At 35.7% G+C, this 24,179-nt stretch overlaps 1 protein-coding gene across 9 annotated transcripts in view, besides 1 other annotated feature; it reads left to right on the forward strand.

Moving 5' to 3' along the window:
- The window catches only part of QKI (QKI, KH domain containing RNA binding), a 163,875-nt gene that overhangs the window by 30,824 nt on the left and 108,872 nt on the right, over positions 1 to 24,179 (forward strand). For all 9 annotated transcript variants that reach the window (NM_206855.3, NM_206854.3, NM_206853.3 and 6 more), the window contains exon 2: positions 9,738 to 9,880. In NM_206855.3, the coding sequence (NP_996737.1) occupies positions 9,738 to 9,880 (143 nt within the window). The remainder of the gene's footprint in view (positions 1 to 9,737; positions 9,881 to 24,179) is intronic.
- Positions 14,841 to 15,070: an enhancer, noted in NCBI's record as "active region_25419". NCBI's record gives its function as "activates an Ori minimal core promoter by ATAC-STARR-seq in GM12878 lymphoblastoid cells {active_cell/tissue: GM12878}" and the evidence as "EXISTENCE:reporter gene assay evidence [ECO:0000049][PMID:35858748]".

Consider the following 24,179-nt stretch of genomic DNA (forward strand, 5'->3'; position numbering starts at 1 on the left):
CCATTTTTGGCAAAACAATCACACACAAGCGCTGTTGTGCCCATCTCAGTGGATCATGCTGTGGAGTATATGTCTTTTTTTTTTTTTTTTTTAGTTGGAGTCTTGCTCCGTTGCCCAGGCTGGAGTGCAGGGGCACCATCTCGGCTCACTCCAGGCTCCGCCTCCCGGGTTCATGCCATTCTCCTACCTCAGCCTCTTGAGTAGCTGGGACTACAGGCGCCCGCCACCACGCCCAGCTAATTTTTTGTATTTTTAGTAGAGAAGGGATTTCACTGTGTTAGCCAGGATGGTCTCGATCTCCTGACCTCCTCATCCGTCCACCTCGGCCTCCCAAAGTGCTGGGATTACAGGCGTGAGCCATCGAGCCCGACCGTTGTGGGGTATATGTCTTAATACTGGTAATATTAACTTTGATTAGTTGGTTAAGGCGATGTCTGTCAGATTTCTCCACTGTAGTTTCTCCTTTTTTCCTTAGTAATTAATAAATGCCTTACAGGGGAGATACTCTGAAACCGTACAGCTATCCTTTCATATTTTTGCTAACTAATTTAGCATTCATTGAATGATTTTTGTTTGCATTGATTTTTACTAATTAAAATTCTTTAAGGAAGAGCTGTCCCCTTTCCCCCTTGTATTTATTTATTCAGTTATTTATATCAATCTTTTCTTATGGGTTGTAATTCATTACTATCACTATATAAGTAAAAACTTTTAAGAAAAGTTTCTGAAAAGTTAATACATTGAGATAATTCAAAATTCAGAGACTCGTAAGAGTACATTTTCTTCTATCCCTGTTATCTTGGGTACCCGTTTCCATTGCTAAGAGTTTATTTTTATTCTTTCAGAAATATTAAAGGATTGGGAAAAGAGTTGTTAATAATAATTGCTGGATTCTCAGGTATTTCTTTTTACCTGGATTCTGATGATATCAAACTAACTTGCTGTTGCATCTTCTTCGGATATTCATTAAAATGTTACTTAACTAGTTCGCCATTAGATTTAAATTTACATTTCAGTACAGTGACTATTATATATAGATGGGGACTGGCTTCCCCTGAGTATCCTAAGAAACGACATGACCAGAAGACCACATTTTCTATTAAATAAATAATAGTTAAATATTAACGTGTAAAAGTAAACAGGTTTAAAAGTAAACTCTTTTTTGGTAAGTTGAAACAAAAGTCAGTTTAAATGAGAAAGGCTGCCTATCCAATTAAGTAACTGGTTTTTCAAAAGTGAATGAAGGCCCTCCCCACCAAGTCCCCCGCTCTGTTCTGTTCTTTTCAGTGACCTATTTTACTTTCTGTGTCTACTGGCAGTATCCGTTTATTCATTCAGGATGTCACTTTAGGAACCTAGACCTGGAGTTCATCTACAGAACTGTGTTCTGTTAAAATGGAGTGAAAGAAAAGGGCTAAAAAGACTTTCTTTCACACGCTATTAAAACAGTGAACATACTGGTCTACACTTATTATAGTACAGCCAGCAATACATCAAAAGGTGGCTTATTCCATTTTATTTCCATTCTCTAATTACCGTTTCTTAAAATGAATTTTAAGAGTTTCTTATGCCAGGAAATCCTCTATGAAACTCTTAAGTAAAGCTGGTTAGACTAGCTGTGACTTGGTCCAGTTTCTTTTATTTTTTTGATTTACCTTTTCTTTATTTTTATTGATAGATATTTTACATATTTATGAGGTGCACGTGATTTTTTTTTTTTTTTTTTTTGCTACATACATAGAATGTGTAATGATTAAGTCAGAGTATTTGAGGTCTCCATCACCTTGAGTATTTATTATTTCTGTATGTTGGGGATAATTCAAGTTCTCTCTTCTAGCTACTTTGAAATATACAATGTATTAGTTAACTGTAGTCACTCTAATCTGCTGTTGAACAGTAAAATTCATACCTTTATCTAATTATATGTTTGTACCTATTAACATACTTCTCTTCATCTCTTCTCCTACTCATCCATCCTTCCCAGCCTCTGGTATCTATAATTCTACTCTGCCTTTATGAGCTAACTTTTGTAGCTTCCCTGTATGTGTGATTGAGGACATAACGATATTTGTTAATTCTTTAATCACTGAGCATTAGTTGTTTTTTCTTTTTATTTTGAGGGGACAGTAAAAAGGGTATTGTAATATATCCTCCTTCAGATTCTGGTGAAGACCAGTTGAGTCATGTAAAAAATAACTAGATCGCTTTATTTTTAGAGTTGGGAGGCAATGAATTATAACATCTTTATTATGCTACTGTTTTTATATAGGCAGTCCCATGCTTGCAGTGTTTTGATGTAAGCTTTTCTGCTTTCTACTCTCCTAATAGGTGATTATTGTAAGAAAAATTTATATAATAACATGAAAGCGAAATAGTCCTCGTAAATTCATCTCCCAGAGATGATTACTGTTAATAGTTGTATCTTTTTTGACTTTGTTGTGTCTACCAAAAAAATGTATACTTAAATATAAATTTGATCATACAGTAGAGGTTCTTTTCTATAACCCCAGGAACGTGTGTGCAACTTACTGTTAGGTACTTCTGTAATACAGAACTGCTGCTGAGAACAATCAGGAAAATCGAATTAACATTGTTACAAAGTTTTTGCTGTTTTGTATTTTTGCATGTGAAATTTATCGCCAGTTGTGGACAATTGTTAGTTTTGGTAGTACAAAGAGGAGTTATGATTAATTTAATTTTGTAGTTTTTGTTTTTGGACTTAGGATTGTGAAGTACAGAGTACAATTTAACCCTTGGAATAAGGTTCCATCTAGGGAATTACTAATAGCTTGGGTTTTTTTTTTTTTTTTCTTGCCAGTTTGAAAGCAGTTACTTTGAAATTAAATCAGATTTATTTGGTTGTTAGAGTAAGCAAACATATTTCACTTAATAGTCTGTACTCTAGGCTAGGCGCAGTGGCTCACGCCTGTAATCCCAGCACTTTGTGAGGCCAAGGCGGGTGGATCACCTGAGGTCAGGAGTTCGAGACCAGCCTGGCCGACATGGTGAAACCCCGTGTCTACTAAAAAAAAAAATAATAATAAATTAGCTGACCATGGTGGCGGGCACCTGTAATCCCAGCTACTCGGGGAGGCCGAGGCAGGAGAATCGCTTGAACCCAGGAGGCGGAGGTTGCAGTGAGCTAAGATTGTGCCATTGCACTCCAGCCTTGGTGAAAAGAGTGAAACTCCATCTCAAAAATAAATAAGTAAATAAATAATACTCTAGTAACTTGCTTTTTAATCTAGTTGCTCTCTGTACCTTGTGAACTTGGCCTCTTAAAAAGAGCACAGTGAAGTTAAATTCCATGGGTGGTTCTCAGCTCAAAAATAACTTTAAAACTTTCTCTGTATTTAGTCAAGCCTTAATTAAAGTTTATTTCTTTTTACAGAAGAGATTGTTGTTAACCCTAAATTCATAAGGTTACACACCAGCCACCTCTTTATGAAGTGACAGTTCTTCAGTTTTAAATAGATTACTAATATTATTGTTTTAAGATTTAATGAGTATTATCTAAATAAAAACGAGTAATTTGTTATTAAGACCTAAAATAACTAAATCTTACTTTGCTGTTTGTGTTAGTGAGCTACTTTAATGTCTAGCAAGAGGTAGGGATTGCAGACAGTGTGGAAATACTGGAGCCTATTTAAGCTTCAGATGAAAGCAGTCATTTTAACTTACCTCATAAAATGTATTTTATGTATATCAAATTATGTATGTGTTTATATATACTTGTCGTTTTACTGACAACTAAGATTTTCCATAAGTTAATGGAAAATGTTAAAAAGCACAGTTATGGTCAAATGACACAGTGACCTTTTCATTCCTTTATTAGCTCCTGCTCTAGTACAATGATAAGGCAGATTTTGTTGATGGATTCAAATGTACAAAGAAACAGCAGATAGATACCCAGTGAAAAAATATATATGTCTATAACATCAGCATTGCAAGTTGAGCAATTGAATCAGCTACCACAACACTAAGTATAAGATGCATTTTATGTGAGTTTTTCTTCAGTGTTTTAAAACTGTTTTGTTTTTTTACAAATCCTGAAAGTAATTCTTTGGTGCATTTTGGCTTTGAATTTTACTTTTCATTAATATTTTGTTGCTTATGATTGAGTTAGTAAATAGTTTTTGTGTTTCATTTCCTAATTTTGATTTTCTTAGTTTAAATTTGCTGAAAAATTTCTAAACCAGAAAGTAATATAGAGCTGTATTTGATTCTTTGGCTTTCCAACATTGCAGTATTGATTTTATACACAGCCTTAGCTATGTATTTATATATTTTATGAAATGACTGCTCAATGCTGTAATTTAGATTTCTCACCCCATATTTTTTTATTCTCTTAACAGTTTTTCCTGTTCTTAATTCCAGTGTTCTAGTTTTCCAGTGATTGATCTGTTAGTTAAATCCAATAATTCATATATATGTAATTGGATTTAACATATGTGTGTATAACATATATGTATAACATATATATACACACACATATATATGTATATATGTGTATATATATATGTATTTCTTTTTTGAGATGGAGTCTCACCCTGTCACCCAGACTGTAGTGCAGTGGCATGATCTCAGCTTACTGCAGCCTCTGTCTCCCGAGTTTAAGCAATTCTCCTGCCTCAGCCTCCCGAGTAGCTGGGATGACAGGTGCCTGCCACCACACCTGGCCAATTTTTGTATTTTTAGTAGAGATGGGGTTTTGCCATGTTGGCCAGGCTGGTCTTGAACTCCTAACTTCAAGTGATCTGCCCACCTCGGCCTCCCAAATTGTTGGGATTACAGGCGTGATCCACCACAACCGGCCCAGTAATTCAGATATTAAAAGGATATGTACAAAAGTAGCAGAGTGCACGTACAATAATTTGGATACAGTAAAAGAGTAGTGGTAATGGAAAAGCCAAAGACAAACATGAGCTGAGGCTGTTGAAACATGAAACCTAAGAATTACTTTAAAACCTTTTAGTGAAATCCATAGTTGGGTGAATTAAGGGGAAAGAAAAAAGAATAAAGGTCACATAAAACAGAACTGTGCAGTGACATCGGAGCAGAATTAACTGACAGTTGAGCCTTAGTTTGGAAAAGAAAAAAAATCAAGATAATTAAAGCAGAGAAATGTGACGAGGCAGTAAGTAGTAACAGGTTTTCAGGCCTAAACAAAAAATAGTTTTCAGCGTAGTGAAATTCGAAAAAAAAAAAGTAAATTCAAAAAATTGTAGGAAATGGGAGGAGCCTAAATGCTGTAAAGGCAAATACTCCCCAAAGCTGAAAAATGTATATGCTAAATTTGATGGCATAACCTGTAGATTCCTAAGCAGATTATTTCCTATTTAAACTGGTGGCTCCAGAAGGAGGTTCTGGTCCCATTGTAGCTTGGGATTTCATCAAGTAGTAGATAAAGATGTGCCTGTATTTTGGGATCTGGGCCAAAGAAATCTGTGCTCTATAAAATTACGGTTGGATTCTTGACTCGGAGACTATTCATCCTTAAAGAATAAAGAATATCAGCTGATAGATTAATATCAGTCTGCTGAAGGGATATGTGTAGCAGAAAATAACCAGGAAAAAAATTGAAATCTTCTGTTGGTGTCTAAACAAACAGTTGTGGAATTATGGAATGGTAGAGACTTGTCTTAACACCATTAGCAAAATGTCAGCAGTGTGCTGTGTTTGCCAAGGAAGTAAAGATATTCTTAAACATCATCACCTCTTAAACAGTGATTATGGATGGGGCAGAGTTTGGGACTAGAATTTGATAGCTTCAGTTGGCTTATCCATTGATCATTATGGAATGTTGTGTACAGTATAGGGTTTTGCATATTAAAAGGGACCTAGACAGATCAGAGTGCATCTAAACAAGTGGGAGGGTATAAAACCATGTCATTGGTTTAGGGAAGAGGACACTTAGATATTTTAGAATTTTTCCAATGTTTATGGGGCTGCTGAGTTGTGGCCAATGGTAGAAATTTTAGGAGAGCAGATTTTGGTTTATTAAAACAAATTTATAATATTTAAGATCTTTAGAGATGTCTAAAAATTTCTCTTGATACTGGGGATATTTAGATAGAAAATACATGCCTGGGGTTCATGTTGGGAGATTTTTTGTACTATGCGTGATTAAGCAAACGGTTCTGAACTTCAGTTCTCTGAACAACTGCTGCGGGTTGTTGAAGGTAGTGCAGTTGGTGGTGGGGCATTTGAGTGTTGTAATGTTTGATACAGCAAAATAGTGTGTACAGCATATTAGTTATGAAGCATTCCTATGTTTCATGAGAACACCTGTGAAGCTATTACTTACAAAAGGACTAAAGCATTTCCCAAACCCGTACTCGTTGCATGTTTCCATAGTAGTTTGGCTATAATTGTATCCTCCTGCTAGGATAACATTCCCAGAAGCTCTGATTGCCACGACTTACAAATGGAAAGTTTTAAAGACAAAACTTTTAAAAACAGGATTATGGAGAAAAAGAATAAATGGGGCTCTTGCATAGTAAGATTGGAAACCAGTGGATTTAGTTCATTCATTGAATAAGTATATGAAGCACAGACACAGAGAGGTTGTAAGAAAGAGACTTGTCTAAAATCACAGTTACTGTTAGAACTGGAATCAGAACTTGCTCTGACTCGAGTGTTCTGAATAACACCAGAATGCTGATGATTTTCTACTTTTTTCCCCTGTTTATAAAGGTAGTACATAGTTGGCCAAACTCAACAGTGAGTAAGATTTTTAAGTCCTTGAGGACTGGAACTATGTCTTAGTTACCTTTTCATTCCCATCATTACTATCTTATACATTAATTTGTGTTCTGTTATGAAATTGAGTGATATATCTTAGAGACTGAAAAAAATCGTGGTAGAAAGACTTCTTATCTGTCTTCCTTATTAGAATAAGTTATTTGAGAGCTGGAACCATGACTTGTTTAACTTTAATGCTCCAGAAACCTAGCTCTTTCTTGCCTTTGTTTACCCCCACCAAGTATTTATTGAGGGCCAGCTGTGTTCCAGGCACTGTTCAAGGACCTGCGGACACACTGGGTAACAGAATCTCATGGAATTTTGTGTTATTAATCAAGGAATCACATAGGTATTTATAAAAATACAACTTAAGTGGTAAATGGCTTGTATCATCTAACCAGATAGATGCTTATATATGAGGACTGTTTGTTTTATACATTTTCTTTTTATTTATTTTTTTAGACAGTTTTTTGCTCTTGTTGCCCGGGCTGGAGTGCAATGGCACCATCTCGGCTCACTGAAATCTCCGCCTCCTGAGTACAAGCGATTCTCCTGCCTCAGCCTCCTGAGTAGCTGGGATTACAGGCGTCTGCCACCATGCCCAGCTAATTTTTGTATTTTTAGTAGAGACGGGGTTTCACTATGTTGGCTAGGCTGCTCTTGAACTCCTGACCTCAAGTGGTCTGCCTGCCTTGGCCTCCCAAAGTGCTGGGATTACAGGCATGAGCCACTGCGCCCGGCACGTTTATTTAATTTTTTAATCTAGTCATTTTATCTGAATTTTCTGATAACTTGCAATAGATTCTTTTGTTTTTTTTTTTTCTAAGTTTGATAAATTTGTTTATCTGGAAAATCAGTATTTTTTCTTCCCTAGATTTATTATATTACTATGGTTACTTATAATAGTAGATTTTTCAATATTGAACTATTCTTGCACTCAGGGTATAAATTCTACTATATCTTAGTGCATTTTTCTTTTTCTATTTATTTCAGATGTTTGCATCTATATTTTTAAGCAAATTTTATCTATAGTTTTCTTTCATGCTGCTATTCTCAGGCTTTGATATTAGTGTGGTGCTAACTGCAGTAAGAATAGGTAGTTTCCGAAGAAGATATTTAAATAATAATTATATGGAAAGTGCTTTTTTAGTCCAGAGACCTGGCTAAAGGATGTATGTGTGATTTTAATTAGATTAAATTTTTCTAATGTCCCTTGGTTAATTACTTGCTGTAATTATGTAAATGATGTAAAGGAGTTTAAATTGTTGCTTGGTTGTTGAAAACTTGATTTGAGAATTGCTGTCATATGCTAATTTAAGATAAACACCAAGTTGATACTGGACATTATTAGGAAAGATTTAATTATGAAGCTAGAAGTATAAAAAGAACCTTAGGAAATAATAAAATTCTGCCCTTATCATGTAGTCAAATCCAAGGTAATCTCTAGATTTTTGTTGATTTTATTTGCTATTCAGAGAAAAGCATTTCGTAAGCTTTGACAAACAAATTGTTATTTAAGAGATAAAATTTGTAATATGAATATTGGTATCACTGAAGCAGAAAATGTATTACAGTGCCTTTTTTAATTGATTAAGATTTTATAACTGAGTAAGAGTACCTTTGATCCTGCCTTTTTGCTGTGTTGGATTTTATTTAACCGAAACTGATTTAAATAACTAGTTAGAAAAATTAAAGAGTGCCTTCATATTTGATAGTTCCTAAGGAACTATCAATAAATTGAACTTCCCCATGTTTGGAAAGCATACAAAATACATTTAAAAAATACATTTTATTTTTAAATACTAATGGATGCAAGCCTTTCTCCCAAGGAGGACACAGTCTGTAGGATAGAGAGACATTACATCTGCATCTGGCTAACCTTAATAATGACAACCCTTATTGGGCAGTATGTTCCAAAGGACAGGAGCCTGTCTTCTGGTGCATACTAGAAGCTTAATAATTTTTGAAAAGATCCATTTTCTTTATGGGACTCGGCTCATTAAAATAGAATTCTCCTACTTTTAAAAAAAATGTCTATGTATATCCAAGAACAGTAATACAGGTCTTTAAAAACAGGTCATTGATTTTAGGTATTGCTACTTCCTTTTTTATATTTAATATTTCAATCATTAACCCAGTGTAGCTTGATCTGTTACCCTCTTTCCCTTGAAACTTCTCTGATCACCAGTGGCTTAGTGGTCAAATCCAAGGTACCATCTTTTGCTGTTTATCTTACATTCTTTTGTAGTATTCGATACTGTTGGTCACCCTGTCCTTGAATCTGTCATTTCTTAGCTTCTATAACACCTCTCTTCTCTAGTTCTCCTGCCTACCTCCATTTCTTCTTGGTTTGGATCTTCTTTTCCTTACCCCTTCCTTTTTCTCAAGTGGATTCCGTCCTTCTTTCTCCCATTACTTGCTCTAAGACATCTCTTCTGATAGCTTTAACCATTAAATTTGTATATGAAACTCAGACTTCTGCTGAACTTGCAGTCTGTTGTCTTTTGAACATCTCTGTTTGGATATTCCAAAGATATCTAAAAATAATGGAAGTGGTCCCGTTTAAATATCCTTCGGACAAATTAGTTCTGAAGTACAAAAGAGGCTTTGGTATTAGTTTTGTCTGACAGGCATTCTTATAGTTGTTTACTGAAGCTATGATTTGGAATGACTGGCCTCGTTTAGACTTGGAAAAATTAGATGAACTAACAAGTCCATATTATACCGGTTAGGAAGGAGCTCGGGCTTTGAAGTTAATTTAATAAGATATGTTATTTGATTCGTATAAAAATTGGTTTGTAGTAGAAATTAATTAAGGCTATAGTCTTGTTTAAACATGGGCTTAATCCAGAGAATGATAGAATAGGCCAGGAGCTCCTTATTTGAGTTTTAATGCTTTATCAATGAAACCCTCCCCTGCCCTCTCTTTTTTCCTCTGGACTAGCAAGAATATTTTTTTTGTCTAACACATTTAAAATTTTTACTTTTAACAGAAATTAGCAGAGTACGGAAAGACATGTACAATGACACATTAAATGGCAGTACAGAGAAAAGGAGTGCAGAATTGCCTGATGCTGTGGGACCTATTGTTCAGTTACAAGAGAAACTTTATGTGCCTGTAAAAGAATACCCAGATGTAAGTATATTTTGTTGTTTTATTCAATTTTGTTCTGCTTCACATATGTTGGGAAGAGATATATTTGGTGGTAAATACTTAAGCATTATTAGCCACTTTAAAAAAATGCAGTCATCAACTGAAGTGTGAATAATTTGGCATGATAATTTAAAAAATTTCTCTCTAAATATGTTTGCATTTGATTGCTGCTATGTCACTTTGGAAATGCACATGGTATAGACTCTTGGGTTTCAAAACTGGATGAGGAATTGTGGAAAGCACTATGGCCTGACTGACACAGAGCACCAAGCACAACATTGCTCATCTTTAATCTGACCTTCAAGAAGCCACAGCTTGGGCCACAGCATTCTTTCTGTAAAATGAAGGTGTTGGACCATAAGTTTCCTTTCAGCTCTAAAATTTTTATTGAAACCACTGATTGTAATCTGATTTTCCCCCATCTTAGTCCATTGTTGAACTATTCTCTATAAGCATCTTGTTGTGAATAGCCTCCTTGTCCTATATCTGTTAATTTCTAAATAAATCCAGATTCTTTGCTTTTTGTTACAAAGCCCTATATGATACGGTCCATTCTATTTCTCTGGCCTCATCTTAAATGATTTTCCCTCTTCTTTACCACACTGTAGTCACATTGACCCTCTTTTGGCTTTTAGAATAAGTCAAGTCTATTCCCAGTCTTAGGGACCCCATGTTAGTTGTGCTCTGATCTCTACTGGCTGGCTGCTTCTTGTCATTAAGAATTTAGCTCAAATGTCACTTCAGAGAGGCTTCCCCTGACCTTTTTATTTAAAAGCCATCTATCTAGCTACTCACTGTTTCACGTTGTCTTTTTTTTTCTTTGCAATAGCACTTATAATCGGGCATTTTTCTGGTTTATTTTCTCTCTCTCTGTCTCCCCTGAAGAATATAAGGTGTACATAAAATAAGAACCTTGTCTTTGTTATTCACTGCTGTATCCCTCATAATATTGGCACATAATAGGTAACAATACTTGTTGAATGAACCAAGAAAAGATGATGGCTTTTTGCTAAGTTTCAGAGGACTTTTATGAAAGCAGATGAAAAAAGGAGTTATTATAATATCAAAAATATGATGTGCTCTATGATTCTTTAGTTATATGGACAGAATACTAGTCTGTAGATGAGAAATGTCTTAAGTTGAATTAATAGGAAAAAGCTTTGATATTTTACAGTTACATTACAATTTGCAAAAATTGATCTGATACTTTTTTTTAAAGGTTATATACATTTACTCTGGTTTTATAGGTATTTTTGGTTGCAAATACACAAATAGTCTTGGATAATGTAGGAAAAGAGGAGTTGGTTGGAAGATTATTGAGTAACACAGAGGATTAAAGGAATAGTTGGAAAACAAAGTGCCATGTTAGGCTAGGAATCAGGGCATCTGAGAACTTGAGCAGCAGGAGTTTGTGGAGCTTCTCGGTTGAGAGCCTTGCTGACATAACTTGGCATTGGTGCCTCCCAGACTTTATCTTTAAAATTCAGATTCTTAGAAGAGTGAATGTGTTTTGGGCCTTTCTGACTGGGGAAGTGAGGTTATCTACCATTACCTAGACAGGACCACTGTGAGCCTACCCTAGGTATTAGGATTATTCCTAGAGATGGGAAATTGTGATTTGGGCAGCTGTTCCAATTGGGGTCTACTGCTGTTAGGTTTTTCACTATCCTGGAAAGGATAGCAACTGTCTGTTTTGCTTATTTAAACGTTAAGGGATAATGTTTCTGCAGTGGGCATTAACATAGAATATGTAAGACCACAAGACCTTGATAGAGAATATAATGTTAATCTGTCTGGTTCCATCTCTTAAAAAAAGAAATCCTATTCAAGGAAGGGGTATTTATGCATTCTTTAAAAGACATGGGTTTCATACAGTCTTCTAAGTCAGGACTTGAGTCTAGAGGGCACCTGTTCACTATATTCCTTTCCTTCCTCCTCCAGTTGTGACTTCTTGCCACGGTGAACTACTATTACCGACTGGTGTGTTGGAGCATGGCATTTGTCTTGATCGGTGATTCTCAAAACACAGTCCTTGGACCATAGTATCTACGCTTTCTGGGAACTGTAAATGTTCAAGCCCCTTTCCATACTTATTGAATCAGAAACTCTGGGGTAAGGGCGAGGCCTAGCAATTTGCCTGTTAAGCCCTGTAGATAATTCCGATGCATGCTGAAGTATGAGAATCACTCCTCTAATTTTTTTTTTTTTTTTTGGAGAGGGGACAGGGTCAGCCAGGCTGACAGGTAGGTGATCATGTACCTGGTCATTTTGCCAGGCATCGTTTCAGGAGGCCTGAAACAGTAAGTGGTGAAGTGATGAATTAAACAGTGTCACTGGTCTTGTGGAGTGGACATTTCAGTGACAAAGACAAACAGTACACAAATGAATCTATAGCTGTAATCAGTGTTATGGAGAAACATAAAGTGGGGTAGACAGATGAATAGTGACTGTGTATGGAAGGAGGTATTCATTTTTAAGGGTAATCAGGGAAGAAATCTGTTACAATATGATGGGAATGGAGAGACAGGAACAGAATGATGGGAGGAAGGCATGAAAACCATCTGGGAGAAAAACATTCTAGGCAGAGTGAACAGCAAGTACAGCTGACTCAGGCAGGAATGTGCTTGGGAAGTGTTGTAAGATGTGAGGTTAGAGAGTTAGCACAGGGGCAGTGTCATGCCGTGGTCAAAAGTAGGAACTCAGATTCAGACTTCTAGCTAGTTTTGCTGCTTGTTTTGTGACTTTGGTACTACACTTGATCTTAACCAAAAGGCCAGGAAGTGATGATGTTTTGTGACTTTAAGCAAATTACTTTTCATTCCTGGTGTTCGCTTTTCTCATTTCTGTAATGGAGATATTAAACCTCTCACAAGATTATGAAGACTAAAGAGTTAATATGAGTGAAGCAGTTGGAAAACATCTTTATGCTATGTGTCACAAGCTCTATGAGGGCAGGAATCTTTTTGTCTTTCAGTGCTGTATTTCTAGTGCTTAGAATAGTGTCTGATAAATGGTGTATTCACAATAAGTATTTGTTGCACATATTTGTATGAAACTCATTCTTTCAAATATTGTTAAACTTTTCTTTTTCTTTAAACCTGTTGTCTTTTGCATTTGCACATAGCACCTTACTTACAGAAGTCAGTGTTAAGTTAGAGATGTGTTTTGGACTTGGCAGTGCAGATCTCTGAAACTGATATGAGAAGAAAGTCTCAGACTCAAGGTCTGAGAAATGAAGTAGTGCTATAGTCTGTAGCCCTTTGCAACGTTTTTGAAGTTTGGCCTCATGATGTGAGAATGAGAGGCTAATATGAATAGGCCACTGAAAATGTATTAAAATTTTCACAGAATTAATATTTATTAATAAAGCAGACTTCTATTGCATCTCTACTGTGTACCAAGCACATCCTAGGTAAGAATATTTAATTCTTTTGAAAAAAACTCTTTGATATAGTAAAGACAATAGGTTTCTTAGTCAGGCCTAGGTTTTGAATTCTGGCTTATCCTCTTATTGGCTGTATTTGTCAACAGTTGCCACAATAATGCTCCATGATAAAACACTCTAAAACTGGGTGGCTTAAAAATAATAATCATTTATTTCTGTGCTCATGGGTCTGTATGTTGGCTGAGGGTCTACTGGTTAGGGTGAAGCCTAGCTTGATTGAGGCTAACTGGGTGGGTTTAGATCTTCTCCATTTATGTTCCTGCTGGGCCCAGGCTAAAGCGGGCAGTGGCTGCTTAGGGCATGCTCTTATGGCAGGCCACTGGAATGCAAGATCCAAGCCAAACTGCATAAGCAGGTATAAGGCGTCTGCTCTTGTTGCTTTCCATTAGCCCAGTGATTCTCACCTGGTGGCAGTTTTACCTATGGGGACATTTGGCAATACTAGAGATACTTTTGGTGTCTAAACTTGGGAGAGGGGGTACTATTGGCATCTAGTGGGTGGAGTCCAGGGATACTGTTAAACATCCTGTAATGCACAGGGCAGTCAGCCTCCGTGCACCTCCAGCCCCCCAACAAAGAATTACCTGGACCCAAATGTCAGTAGTGCTGAGGTTGAGAAACCCTGCGTTAGTGATACCAAGTCACTTCATTTACAGAGAGAAGGGGACTGAAATAAATATTTGCCGAAAAATAATTGAGATGATCACATTGGCTTTGAGCATATGCTTGCTTTTTAGAATCTGTTTCTTTGTCTATGAAGTTATAAGGTTCACTTCATAGGATTGTTGGGAGGAGTAAAGGTAACAAATGTGTGACATCTGATAGAGCAGGCACTCTGTGGTTTTTGTGATTACACATAAGAAAAATAATCCTGTTCTTGAAGGAGTTCAGTCTTGTGTGAAGGATAAACGATTAAATTATTGAAGACTTTAAGTTTCTCATGCATTCATGAAACTACAGACATGAAAGAACATTGAAGTTATATTTAGACCATCAAATTGTTTATTTGGCTGGTCAGGTTTTCTTGTTTGAATCCATGGAGATGTGTTATAAATGATTATGAATAGAGTTAACTGATTTATTTAAGTAAAAAGTGTTATATTTTGAATGAGTCAGTAATAATTTTGTCATTAAATTTGCCTAGTTATCAATTTCAAGTTGTTAGAAATTGTTCTATAGGATCTGCCAGAGTAGTAGACTTGATAAATATTGGCAAGGTCTAGCTGTTGATGATACTAGTCGTCCTGTTAAATACATGAACAGATTAGATTGGTAAACTGCTTCCTTTGGACATGATGATTAAATTGTAGTGAGACTTCTTGGAGTTTTATGTGAATATAATTCTGATTTTCTGATGTTTTTAAAATGGGATTTAATTTTGACTAATAGCTTTGAAAGGCATCTCTTGGGTCTAGGCCATCATGAATACCCATATTGTCAAAGGTTTTGTAAGACAGACAAATGTCTTTTCAAGGATTGTGTTTTCAGCCTGTAGGATCCCAGCCTGGTTGCTATAGTTAGTAGTTTAGATTCATAATGTTATTCACAGTACACTCCACTGTCTCTCTTATAATAATACATGTTGATGATGGAACACGAGTTGTAAGTTCTCTTTCTGTTTCATTTTCCTGGGTTTGCAAATCAGCTTAGGCTCGTCATAGCTTCTGAGTTAGTTAGCATAGGGTTGTTGTTTGTCAGCAGTCTTGAGAAGTTGGTGTCAAATTGGGTGTTGAGCTGGCGTTTGTTTTAGAGGGATTATGGGGAGAGGGGCCAATTCAGTAAGTTATCTTTCCTTAAAGTCTTTGTTCCTTTGACCATTGCGGCCTTCTTATTGTTGAAGGATCACGAACTTCAGGAGTCTTGATGTACACTACTTTCACTTTCATTCTTCTGAATAACAAATGATATTAAATCAAAATTTAATGATATTCAAAGTCTCCTTTTTCAATACCCAGGTTAACACTTGATTTTTGCCTGAATATGATCATATTTTGTGAGTGAAAATAATAATGCTTTAAAATTACGATCTACACATCTGTCTTTGATAGTTTGTACAGAAATCTATTTAAAGGTAGTTTTTCTCAAAAGGTTAGTACATATTTGTATTCAGTGGAGTTGTGAAGTGATTCAGATTACATATTAAAGTTTTAATTTAGCAGTGTGATTTGATAATATAGGGCATATCTTTATGTTTTAGGTAGGGAAAACTTAATGTATAAGTTCAACTAGATCGGTTTAGTAAAAGCCAATTTATGACTCTTTGTTTTGTTTTGAAGTTTCCTCTTTATTTCACTCTGTAAGGGTATATTTAGGGCCTGTTGTGTACCAAATATTTCATAGGCTTTTTATGGTTTGGGATATACCACATTTCTTAGAATGTTAGTAAATAATTACAGAAAGGGTTACAGGACAGTCTGAAAACAATACATTTTGTTTAGCTGATATTTTTCCAACGTTTAACATTTCTTTAAATAATAAGGCCTCTCTGAGTTTTAAAAATGCAGGCACTTTCTTTTATAAATAATATATTTTAGTATTTGATAGGAACTAGTGCTTAGAAGAACAAAATGAAAGATGGGGTTGTTAGGGAAGAATTATTCAGATTAGACAGAAACGTTTGTCTATGGTTTATCTAAAAAGAGTTTCATGTTAGGATCTACTCTGTTAAAATTACTGCTTCAAAGGACTTATGGATAATTTGATATCTACTCATAGGTGTTCAATCTCCATATCTCTTAAGATTCTTGCTGAAATAGCCAAAGTATGTAATATGGAAATCGAGGAGAAATCTGCTTCTCAGTGCTATCCATATTCCAGGAACATTGAGCTGTTTCTGATAAAGATTAAAGGAAAGCTCAAGGTGATGATCTACTTTCAGCCCAATTTGAGAGAGCAGTGTCTCCGGGAGTAAAATGGCTAATAACAGAATCTTCCTCATCCTAACCCCTCAGAATTGTCACACATGAAATGGGCTATGAAGCAGTCAAAGGTTATACTGCTTGAACTCTTCCACTCATTTCAGTTCCTGTTTATAAGTAGGTGACCTAAATTTATTTTGTAAGTTAATGAGACTATGTTTTCTTTTGATTTCAGTTTGGGCGGAAAAGTACCTTAGTTTTTGAGATCACGTGCCTTTACTTTAGGGATGTTGAGGTTGAGTTTTTCAGCTACTAGCTTTTGAGATAAATTCAGTTAATCATTTCATTGGGAAAAAATACATATATATTTAAGTAATTTTTGTTTTGTTTTATCTTAGAGACAAGGTTTCACTGTGTTGCCCAGGCTGGTCTTGAACTCCTGGGCTCAAGCAATCTTCCTGCCTCAGCCTCCCAAAGTGCTGGGATTACAGGCGGGAGCCACTGCGCCCAGCCAGAAAACATATTTTATGTCTTAATAAACCCAGGATTTACAACAAGGTAGCTTACAAATAAATTGGGGATTTCTTGAAATCTTGTTTTGTCTGCCATAGAACACTGCTTTTCCCAAGTCCAAAATCAGTGTCATCAATAAGCAGCCTGTCTATCATAAACTTGGGCATCTACTTGTTTCATATTGGTATAATATTTTCTTTATTATTTGGTAGGGAATTGATTGACTTTGAAAACTTCTATCCTGTATTGTTTGGGGTTACAGAACAATGATTGTTTTGATTAGTTTCTTTGTACTTTTAAGATTGCATATAAATAGTATAAATTTGCCATGTTAAGGACAGATTAAAACAAAACTCTTAAAATTTGAAAAGTAGTTAGAACTTGAACACTAAAAAGGATATCTGAATATAAAACAGCAAAATTTTGGTATCATTTCTTCATCCTGGAAATGTTTGTGTGTGGTCTGTGCTAGGTAACAGGACACAGGAATATGAAAAGATGTAATTGCTCTCATGGTACTGATATAGCCACAATCCTGGTATGGAATAATGAGAGCTTGAACTCAGGCAATGGCAGTTGAAATGAAAAGCACAAATTAAATAGGGAGAATTTTAAGATTTCTTTATCTTTTACATGTGAAGGCTAAGAATGAGGGAAGGGCCTTGCTGGTATTGCCATTCGTTGAGAATAAAGATGTATGTGATGATTATTAAAGTGGTGACAATCAGTAAAACATATGAAAATATTGAGAAACCAAGATGTGATTATCTGAAATGATACAGTAATGATATGTTTGGGATATATGTAGGTGGGGAAGAAATGATAAAAACACAACTGGACTAATTCTGAAAGTAAACTTGGATTTGAATAGAGTTTCTATAAACTGAGTACTAAACATTTTGAAAGATTAACAATAATGAGAAAACTAACCATGAATTTTTCTTGTTATCAGGGTATATGTTAAGGTCATTAGAAGAGAGGCATTATACTGTATTAAGTGTCTGAACTCTAGAATCAACCTAGGTGTTCTAGGATTTGGGCTACTGATGTAACCTCACATGTATTAGATGTAGGTGGTAGTGGTAAGCACTGTGCAGTGGTGTTTCGAGGATTAAGTGACCTAATGCATGTAAAATACCCAGCCCAGAAGTTGGCTCATACTTGAACACTCAAAACATACTGCAGCATACTCAACACCAAAGAAATGTTGAATAACGTAGTCCTTGCACTCGTGATACTTCGATTTGACACCAGCAGCAAAGGGGAAAAATTAATAACCAGTTATAACCAAAATTTGAAATCTGTGGTATGCGAATTAGGATATCCTAAATTACGGTGTATCATTCTTTGAGTACTGATATAACTGGATAATAAGCTGAAACCATTCAAAACAAATTCACGTGAGGAAGATAGATTATCACTCTAGATGCTAAGTAACAATTAGAAAAAAGATTATTTAACCAATTAATAAAAATACGAAGGCAATAAAGGTCAACAAGTGTTTTATGACAAGAGCAGAAGACAGTATTTGTGAGAGTATGAGATCCAATGCACAAGGCCTTTTGAAAGATCCCAAACTACTTTCCAAGCCTTTATTTTGCTGCTACCCATGTTTTCTAGCCACCTAAGCAATTCACTCTTCTGTAAAAATGGCAGGTACTTTTAATTTTTCTTCCCTGTAACACTTCTTTTCTTATTTCTTCCTTCCCACCAAACATGCTCAGCTCCCCCTCATCCCACAATATTGAGCTGTAGTGCTCCTTTTGCTATTTGTATGTGCTTTGACTCCTACAGACAGTTGTTTCCCCTTAGAGTACTTTGTACCCACCTCTTAAGCTGTTATCACATGGTATGCAGTGATCTGCCTGATTCTTGCAGGTCATTCTCTGAAGTCAGGAACTCGCTCTTAGTCTTTTATTTTTTAGAAATCTATGATATCTCGCGCAATACATAGCCCATAGAAGAAACTATGTAGTGAAATTACATAGTGATTTTTCATTCTCGCAGTAAAAATTTCCTGGGATTTTTTTTTTTTAATGGGTGGGAAACTACCTGGAAATAGTGGATGCCAGAGTCTTAAACAGAAGGAATGAAATAATAAAGATCAGAGCAGAAATAAATGAAATAGAGGCCAGGAATACAACAGAAAAGTTCAACAAAACAGAGTTGGTTTTTGAAAAGGTAAACAAAATTGACAGACCTTTAGTTGGACTAACCAAGAGAAAAAAAAGTCAAAATACATGAAGGAGACATTACAACTGATACCATAGAAATAATAAGATCATAAAAGACTACTCTGAGTAAATATATGCCAAAAAATTGAACAAACTAGAAGAAATGGATAAATTCCTAAAACATACAACCTATCAGGACCACATCATGAAGGAACAGAAAGTCTGAACAGACCTATAATGAGTGAGGAGATTGAATCACTAAGTCAAAACCTCCCAACAAATAGAAGCCCAAGAGCAGACAGCTTCACGGGCAAATTCCTCTGAACATCTAAAGACGAATTACCACCAACCCTTCTCAAACTTCCAAAAAACTGAGCAGGAGAGAACACTTCCCAGATTCATTTTATGAGGCCAGCATTACCCTTAACCAAAGCCAGATAAGGACATTGTAAGAAAATAAAGTTACAGGCCAATATCCTTGATGAACAGTTGCAAAAATCCTCAACAAAATACTAGCAAACTGAATTGAATAGCACATTAAAAGGAGCGTACACCATGATCAAGTGAGATTTTTCCTCTGAATGTAAAAATGGTTCAACATATGCAAATCATTAACTGAGCTACACCAAATTAACAGAATGAAAAATAAAAACCATAAGATCATCTTAAAAGATGCAAAAAAGGCATTTGACAAAATGTAACATCCTTTCACAATGAAAATTCTCAACAAGTAAGGTATAGAACAGTATGCCACAACATAATAAAGGCTATGTGTGACAGGCCCACAGCTGACATCATACTTAATGGTGAAAAGCTGAAAGCTTTTCCTCTGAGGTCAGGAAGAAGACCCTTGCTACTTCCATTAAATATGGTAAGTTCTAGCCAGAACAGTTAGGCCAAGAAAAAGAAATAAAGGCAGCCAGGAGTGGTGGCTCATGGCTCTGATTCCCAGCACTTTGGGAGGCTGAGGTGGGCGGATCACTTGAGGTCAAGAGTTGGAGACCAGCCTGGCCAACATGAAACCCTGTCTCTACTAAAAAATACAAAAATTCACCAGGCATGGTGATGCATGCCTGTAATCCCAGCTTGCTCGGGAGGCTGAGGCAGGAGAATCACTTGAGCCCAAGAGGTGGAGGTCGCAGTGAGCTGAGATTGCACCATTGCACTCCAGCCTGGGCAACAGAGCAAGACTGTCTCAAAAAAAAAAAAAAAAAAGTAAAAGACACCTAAATCATAAAGGAAGAAATAAAATTATCTTTATTTGCAGTGGCATAATCTTGTATGTAGAAAAACCCAAGACTTCATCAAGAAATCTGTTCACTTAGTCAAGTTCTGGGATACAAAAATCAACATACAAAAATCAGTTTTCTGTCTATACACTAACAACAAACTATTCAAAAAAGAGATTAAGAGGTCAGGTATGGTGGTTAACACCTGTAATCCCAGAACTTTGGGAGGCCGAAGCGGGCGGATCACCTGAGGTCAGGAGTTTGAGACCAGCCTGGCCAACATGGTGAAACCCTGTCTCTACAAAAAATACAAAAAAAACAACTGGGTGTGGTGGTGCAGGCTGTAATCCCAGCTACTTGGAAAGCTGAGGCAGGAGAATTGCTTGAGCCTGGGAGAGACGGAGGCTGCAGTGAGCCGAGATCACATCACTGCACTCCAGCCTGGGTGACAAGAGCGAAACTCCATCTCAAAAAAAAAAAAAAGGGCTATCTCATTTACAATAGCATCGGAAAGAATAATATAATTAGAAATAATACCCAGGAGGTAAAAGATGCCTGCTCGCTGAAAAGTATAACACTGATCAAATAAATTAAAGATGCAAATAAATGGAAAAATATTCCATGTTCGTAGATTGGAAGATTATTGTTAAAATTTCCATACTTCCCAAAGCAATCTATAGATCCAGTACAATTCCTGTCAAAATTCCATTGGCATTTTTCACAGAAATAGGAAAAAACAATCCTAAAATTCACGTGGAACCACAGAAAGCACCTAATCGCCAAAACAGTCTTGAGAACAAAGCTGAAGACATTGCAGTTCCTGATTTCAAATTATATTAAAACAATTTGCTTCTGGCATAAAAACAGACACATAGACCAATGAAACAGAACAGAATCTCAGAAATAAACCTATGAATATAGAGTCAACTAATCTTTGACAAGGGTACCATGACTACACAATGGAGAAAGAATCGTCTCTTCAACAGTTGGTGCTGGGAAAACTGGATATTGACATTCCAAAGATGAAAGTGGACCCTTACTTACACCGTACATAAAAATTTAGTCAAAATGGATTAAAGACCTAAATGAATTCCCTGAAACTATAAAACATGTAGGAAAAAACACTGAATTATAAAGGTATTTGATACTGGTCTTGGTAATGATTTTTCTAGATATTACACCCAAAAAACACAAGCAACAAAAGCAAAAATAAACAGGACTACATCAAGCTGACATGCTTCTGCACAGCAAAGAAACAATCAACAAAATGAAAAGGCAACCTACAGAATGGGAGGAAATATCTGCAAACCTTATGTCTGCTAAGGGTTTAATATCCAAAAGATACCAGAATATTAACTCAGCCCAAAACAACAAAACAGCAAAAAAAAAAAAAAAATGACATCACCCAATTTAAAAATAGGCAAATAACTTTTAGACATTTTTTCAAAAGAGAATATACAGATGTCCAAAAGGCTTATGAAAAGGTGCTTAACATCACACACACACACACACACGTGCGTGTACATGCGTGGGCACAGTAGCTGTGTGGGTGATGGATGTGTTAATTAGCTTGATTGTGGTAACCATTTCACAATGTATACCTTGTATTAAATCATCACAAGTTAAACCTTGTTCATTATATCTCAGTAAAGCTGGAGGGAGGGATTCAGTCACTAAATTGTAAGTTGTATGCAGCACAGGAACTCATATGTTTAGAACTTTCTCATATAATAAGCCTGACTGGCTGTTCTCAGGATAAATCCCAAAGGACAAAGTCAGTAATAAAAAACAAAACAGTTACTATTTCCACTTTCTATTTCAACATGGAAGTATGCAGCTTTAAATTTTTGTTTTGTTTTTACATAGCCTTGTAAGAAACCTTTTCTTACACAGCACTTGTACGTAACATGTGCCATGTGTGCTATGAACAAAAATGTTTATAAAGGCCTAATATGTGAAAGGTTTTGCCAAATGTTTCCTGTAATGTTAATTATATTTTATAAATTAGCTATTTCTCCAGGAGATGTATTTAGCCACTTATTAATTTATAAGAATTAATATGAAGGTAACAAGGCATAAGATGCTCGTTTTCCCTCAAAACACAAGACATTTTGGTATATAGTCTCCAACTTACAATGGTCTGACTTAGGATTGTTTACAATGGTTTGAAAGGATATGTTTTCAGTATGCTTCTCAATTTATGATGGGGCCATCTCCAGATAAAACCATTGCAACTGAAAATATCGTAAATTTAAAACTGCACTTTCAACTCAGTGGTGGGTTTATTGGGACTTAACTCCATTGTAAGTCAAGGATCATCTGTATTCATTCTGTATTTTTAATTAAAAACAGTTGTGCTGTTAATATATAGACACAACTCTTCTCTCATCTTACATACTTGTATAAGATAGGCCCACTAGTGTTGACTAGATTGGGTGTGGTCCGTTTTTTGTCTTCTGCTAAGTGAAAGACTTCAGAAAATATACATATACGCTTCTGTGAATGTATTTGTTTCATACCCACTGTGTTGCTTATGTGATATAATGAAAGATTTGTAAGGCATCTAACTAAAATCACCCTAGAAATAACTAGACACAATATTTAAAAACATTATCAATCTGTTGTGCAAAAAGCAATCCAAAAAAGTGCATTTTTTAAATGAAAACTTGGTCTCTCCCCTTGTCCCCAAATTTTAGGCACAGATTACACTTTATCAGTTCTTAGAAGTGTTTCACTTGAGGTGCTTTTCGAAATCCATTTTTTATTATCTATTGTGATAATGTGTTGCAGGAGTTTATCTTTAATTAGGGAATTTTAAAAAGGTTAATGGAAGGGTTTTCTATAATGCTTTACATTTTGTCATTGGGAAAAATCTATCATTTCCATTTAAAATGAAGTGTGAGCAGCAATGAACAGCATTAGACATAATTGTTGTTAAACCTCTTCTTTGTAAATTAACATGCCACTTGGCAGAAATATAATTGGTGAGCCACAGAGAAGGTCTGTATTTAAACAGTAGGGTTAATGAATATCTTTTTTTCCCCTTTTTCTTTCCCTTCTTTTGGCCTTTAAAGTTGCACTTAGCTCAGGCTGTTTGAAATGATTTTCTTTGAAAGTGTTGTGACATTGTTTTAATTGAATGAAGCTGCAGAACTGGCGTGATAAATCAACACAGAATGAATTTTAATGCAAGGCAAACGATATTAACCTGGAAATTGGTTGCAGTAGACAAAGCAGCTGCTGTGATTAGTTTTTTTTTTTTCTTCATTCTCTACTTACAACATTTTGAGAAGGATGACCTCGACAATTTCAGCTGTACTAGAGTCCTGATGGCTTGCACCTTAACATCCTTGAGCTGTTTGTGGCTTCTTGGGGCAATAGTGATTGTTTCATTTTTTAAGGTTAGTAAAATTTTTTAAGGTTAGTAAGATTAGTAAGGTTAGTAAGATTTAATGTGATTTTAACTGCTTTACAAATATTTTTAATTTAGTAAATCATAATTGTGAGGATTAATTAGCTGTGGTAGAAGCCCTTTTCTATGTAATCTTGATGTGGTTCCAGCCAAGGAGGGTTAATACTTGAAAAGCATGGGGTATGCCAAACAAGGCTCTATATGTGGTCACAGAGTGTAGGGCAGCTGGTTTCACAAAGGGTACGGGTCAAAACCAATTACATATTAGTGATTTGTACTAAAGTATCTCTGTTCATAATGCATTTTTCCAGACATTTTTGGGCCATATGTGAAGTATATAATGTGTATCTAGTTAGTGACAATTTGGGAAAAGATCTGTATAGAGTACAACTATTATTGAAGAGTAGCTGGCAAGGTTACTTAAAGAAATAGCCAAGGTAACAAATATAGTAGAGGCATTTTCACAGACTTCTTGAGAGCAGAGTTTCGTTATTCTCAATCCTTCACATTTACTTCACTCCTTGCCACATAATAAGCCTTAAGTAAATGTTTTGTTGAATTTGAAAATGAAAGGCTGTTCTCTGTTTTACTGAAAAACAGTGGGTGAGTGATAGCATGTAAAGATTATTATCTCTGTCCAGGTTGGAGGA

The sequence above is a fragment of the Homo sapiens genome, chromosome 6, assembly GCF_000001405.40.
Source record: "Homo sapiens chromosome 6, GRCh38.p14 Primary Assembly".
NCBI classification, from domain to species: domain Eukaryota; kingdom Metazoa; phylum Chordata; class Mammalia; order Primates; family Hominidae; genus Homo; species Homo sapiens.